Below are 5,421 nucleotides of genomic sequence, written 5' to 3' on the forward strand. Positions count from 1 at the left end.
ACATTCCCAGTAATAGCAGCTCCACCTGGAGATGGAGCCCCCAGGGTCAACCAAAAGCCCCTCTGCCACTGCCTCTACAGTGGTACTACCCCTGCTACCCTTGAACTAACAAAGGAGCAAAGACCCCAGTGCTTTATCCACACCTCCAACAAGCTGCAGTCGACCACAAAGAAGAAACAAGTCTGTCTCCCATGGGTCCTACCCACACCCCCTGCTGTTCACCATGAATGATAGAGTCAACAGTGTGAAAACGACCATACTGCCAAAAGCAACCTACAAATTCAATGCAATTCCCATCAAAATACCACCATCATTCTTCACAGAACTAGAAAAAACAAGGCTAAAATTCACATGGAACCAAAAAAGAGCCCACATAGCCAAAGCAAGACTAAGCAAAAAGAATAAATCTAGAGGCATCACATTACTCGACTTCAAACTATACTATAAGGCCATAGTCACCAAAACAGCATGGTACTGGTATAAAAATAGGCATATAGACCAATGGAATAGAATAGAGAACCCAGAAATAAAGCCAAATACTTTCAGCCAACTGATCTTTGACAAAGCAAGCAAAAACATAAAGTGGGGAAAGGACACCCTATTCAACAAATGGTGCTGGTATAATTGGCAAGCCACATGTAGAAGAATGCAACTGGATCCTCATCTCTCACCTTATAAACAAATCAACTCAAGATGGTTCACAGACTTAAATCTAAGACCTGAAACCATAAAAATTCTAGAAGATAAGATTGGAAAAACCCTTCTAGACATTGGCTTAGGCAAAGACTTCACAATCAAGAACCCAAAAGCAAACACAACAAAGATAAATAGATGGGACTTAATTAAACTGAAAGCCTTCTGCACATCAAAATAAATAATCAGCAGAGTAAACAGACAACCCACAGAGTGGGAGAAAATCTTCACAAACTATGCATCCAACAGAGGACTAATATCCAGAATCTACAAAGAATTGGAACAAATCAGCAAGAAAAAAAACCAAACACAAGGATGACAGTGGAAATACAAAAACAAGACATAAATATTCTGAATAGTGATAATAAAACAGTGCATACCAGAATACAAACTGTTTCCAAGTTACAATGGTTCAACCATTTTTCAGCTTTATGGTGGTGTGAAAGTGATATCCATTCATTAGAAACCATGCTCCAGGATGGGCGCAGTGGGTCACGCCTGTAATCCTAGCACTTTGGGAGGCCGAGGAGGGCGGATCACAAGGTCAAGAGATCAAGACCATCCTGGCCAACATGGTGAAACCCCGTCTCTCCTAAAAATACAAAAATTAGCTGGGCATTGTGGTGCGTGCCTGTAATCCCAGCTATTCGGGAGGCTGAGGCAGGAGAATCACTTGAACCAGGGAGTCGGAGGTGTTGCAGTGAGCCGAGATCGTGCCACTGCCTCCAGCCTGGCAACAGAGTGAGACTCCATCTCAAAAAAAAGAAAGAAACCCGACTCCGAATTTTGAATTTTGATATTTTCCTGGACTACCAATATGTGGCACAATGCTCTCTCACAATGTTGTGCAACAGCGGTGAGCTGCAGCTTCCAGTCAGCCAAATGATAATAAAGGTAGATAATCCATCTTGATATCTTCCTGAAGAACATAATGCCTGCCTACCATCAACAGGCATCAATACTTTCTACCAGCTATTCTCAACCCTCATGATCGGAAGAGACAGAGACTGACTGTGTCAAAGTATTAGTCCCATCATTCAGCAATTAACCTTAGCTCAATGCTTCAAAAATTCTTCAGGCCCTGTGTAATTTCAGCTACGTACATTAATGATAAGTACCCATACAACCATTCTGTTTCTTATTTTCAGTACCATATTTAATAAATATCAGTTATTCAATACTTTATTTAGACATTTTGTTAGATTATTTTGACCAACTGAAGTCTAATCTAAATGTTCTGAGCATGTTCAAAGTAAGCTAGGCCAACCTATAATTTTCGGTGTGCTAAATGCATTTTTAACTTATGATATTTTCAGTTTACGGGGGTTTGTTGAGACATAACTTCATCATACATCAAGGAGCATCTGTATATGGGATACAGTTAAAGCAGTGATCAGAGGAAAATCTATAGCCTTAACACATTTATTAATAAAAGTGTAGGAATTAAATTATCAGCTGAAAAATGTAAAAAGTATCTAAAAGAGTAAGCAGAAAGTACAAGAAAGAACCCAAAGTAGAAAAAAGTGAAAATTAATAAAATAAGAAGCCAAAAAACAGATCAAATCAGTAAACCAAAAATCTTGTTCTTTAAACAAATCAACAAAGTTGACAAAAAAATTAGATCTTTTAATCATGAATAAAAAAAAAGAGAAAGCACAAAAATGAATAAGGAATGGTGAGAGAAATAACTATTGATAATCAGCAAATAAAAAATCATTAAAAACAATGTTGTTCACATCTATGAAAAACATTGAAAGCTAGAGGGAATGGGTAATTTTCTAGAAAAATACAATTCACCACAACTGACTTCAAAAAAAAAAAAAAGAAGTACAGCACTTATGTGAGCAATTTCCATAGAGAAATACAGTTGTCATGGAATTATAACACACACACAAACACTAGGTTTAGATGTTTTCACGGAGAATTCCACCAAACCTTTAGAAATCAGATCGTCCAAAGGCAAATTAACAACCCTCAGCCATTTGCGGCAAAATATTACAATTGAGGCAAGATATACTGTACTGAAAACTTGAGGAAAAAGCAGGAGAGAAAGTTCCTTTGGGAAATTCGAATACTCAAAAGTGCTTACATACAATGAAAAATTTGGAAATCCATAAGCATGGCCAAGGTGGGACACATGCTCAGAAAAGGCCTGAGAAGACACTAATAACTCACCTTTAGTAATTCCTAGGCTCACAGCAAGAAAAAATGAAGGCTAAGGCAGAATTATACATGGCTCCGCTAAGTGTTGAGGGAGCCCCAATACAGAGTCAGTAAGCAAAGTCTGGGAGATGTTTTTCATATTTTTTTCTTTTTTGGCTACTTGCAGTCAAGGAAATCATTTTTAAATCACTAAATGCTAAATGAACACAAGCTAAAGGAACCGAGCCGCCTTCAAACATCAAACATAAAAAAGAATGCAGATATTACAAAACCAGTTTACAAAAGTTACTAAACAAATAAAAACTACATCCCACAGTGGGTAACAAAAATAACCTTGAAGAAGGGAAAAATTTGGTTTCCAGAATAAACACATTATAATATCCAAAATGTCCAGTTTTCAACAAAAATTAAGAAGCATGCAAATAAACACAAAACTATGGCCCATTTACAGAAGAAATAAATGAGACTCTCCCTGAGTAAGCAGATATTGGAAATATTAGACAAAAACTTTATATAACTGTCTTAAATAAACTTAAAGAGCTAAAGAAACCCAAGAGAATGACATATAAATAAATAAGAAATATGAATTTTTTAAAAGGTACAAAAAAATTCTGAGGCTGAAAAGTACAATAACTAATTAAAAAGTTACTTTTTACTTAGGGTTCCAATAGAAGATTTGAGCAGCTGGAAAAAAGAATCAGTGAACTTGATAGATCAAGTGAAATGATTCAGTCTGAAGAGCAGGAAAATGAAAGAATGACAACAAAAAAGAATAGAGCCTAAAGACCTGTGTAACAACATCAAGAATGCCTACATACAGAATCCTGGTGGGGAGTGAGGGGCAGGAAGACTATTTGAAGAAATGTGTTTGAAAGCTTCCCAAATTTCACTAAAAACAAATATATACATTCAAAAAGCTCAGTGAACTTCATCAAGGAAATATACAAAGATATTCACACCAAGACACACTATGTTTCAAATTGTCAAAAGGCAAAGCGAATGTTTGAAAGCAGCAAGAGAAAGGCAACGCGTCATTTACAAAGGATCCTCAATAAGTTTGACAGCAGATAGTGCATTATAATCCATGGATGCCAGAAGAGCTTAGGAAAAAGGCAATGCATCATTTACAAAGGATCCTCAGTAAGTTTGACAGCAGAGAGCTCATGATAAACCATGGGTGCCAGAAGAGCTTAGAATGACATTTTAAAGTTCTGAAAGAAAAAAACACTGTCAACCAAAAATTCTGTAACTTGGAAGATGCCCCTTCAAGTATTAAGGATAAATTACACATTCCCAGATTAAAAAAAAAAAGAGAGAGAGAAAGAGAAAGAAAGAAAGAAGAGAGAGAAAGAAAGGGAGAGAAAGAAAAAGAAAGAAAGAAAGAAGAGAGAGAAAGAAAGGGAGAGAAAGAAAAAGAAAGAAAGAAAGAAAGAAAGAAAAAGAAAGAAAGAAAGAAAGAAAGAAAGAAAGAAAGAAAGAAAGAAAGAAAGAAAGAGAAAGAAAGAAAAGAAAGAAAGAAAAGCAAGCAAGCTTTAAAAGTTCATGTTTGGTAGGCTGTACTTCAAGATACACTTTAAAAAAAAAAAGACTCCTTCAGATACAAACTAAAAAACACTAGAAAGTAACTCAAAACCACATAAAGAAATAACTCCAGTAAGGATAACTACATAGGTAAATATAAAAGGAATTATCATATTTTTTGTAAGTCTTTTTAAATATTCTATATGTTTTAAAACAAATGTGTAAAATAATGACTATAAATCTATGTTAATGAAGCATGATGTATAAAGATGTGGTTTGTGAAATTACCAACATAAAGAAATTCATAGGAAACTAAATAATAATAGAGATTTTGTATACTATTGAAGTTGTTTCAATTTACTCTAAATTGTTCCAAATTAAGAATGTTAATTGTAAATCCCCATGGTAACCACTAAGTTAATATCTTTTGAAAATACAGAAAAGGAAAGCAGAGGGTAAACACAGTGATATGCTACAAAATAGCAACTAAACACAAAAGAAGGCGATAATTGAGGAAATTAGGAACAAAGGAGGTATAAGACATACAGAAAACAAAAGCAAAATGGTAGGAGTAAGCCCCTCTTTATCAGTAATTACATTAAATACAAATGAATTAAACTCTCCAATCCAAAGAAAGAGATTGACAGAATGGATTTTTAAAAAATGATCCAACTATATTGTCCACAAGATACTCACTTTAGATCAAAATACACAATGCGTTGAAATGAAAGGATGGGAGAAAATATTCCATGTAAGTAATAACCAAAGGAGATCTGAGGCAAATATACTTATATCAGACAAAATAGACTTTAAGTCAAAAACTGTTACAAAATACAAAGAACAGTATATATTGATTTCAAAATTAAACAAGAAGATATAACAATTATAAATATATGTACACCAACTAACAGGGCTCCAAAATATATAATGTAACCATTGAGAGAATTAAAGGGAGAGACAGACAATTCCACGAAAATTGTTGGGCATTTTAAAACCCAACTTTAATAAAGGACAAAACATCCAGAGCAAATATCAAGGGAGGAA

The sequence above is a fragment of the Homo sapiens genome, chromosome 19 (assembly GCF_000001405.40).
Source record: "Homo sapiens chromosome 19, GRCh38.p14 Primary Assembly".
Lineage (NCBI taxonomy): Eukaryota > Metazoa > Chordata > Mammalia > Primates > Hominidae > Homo > Homo sapiens.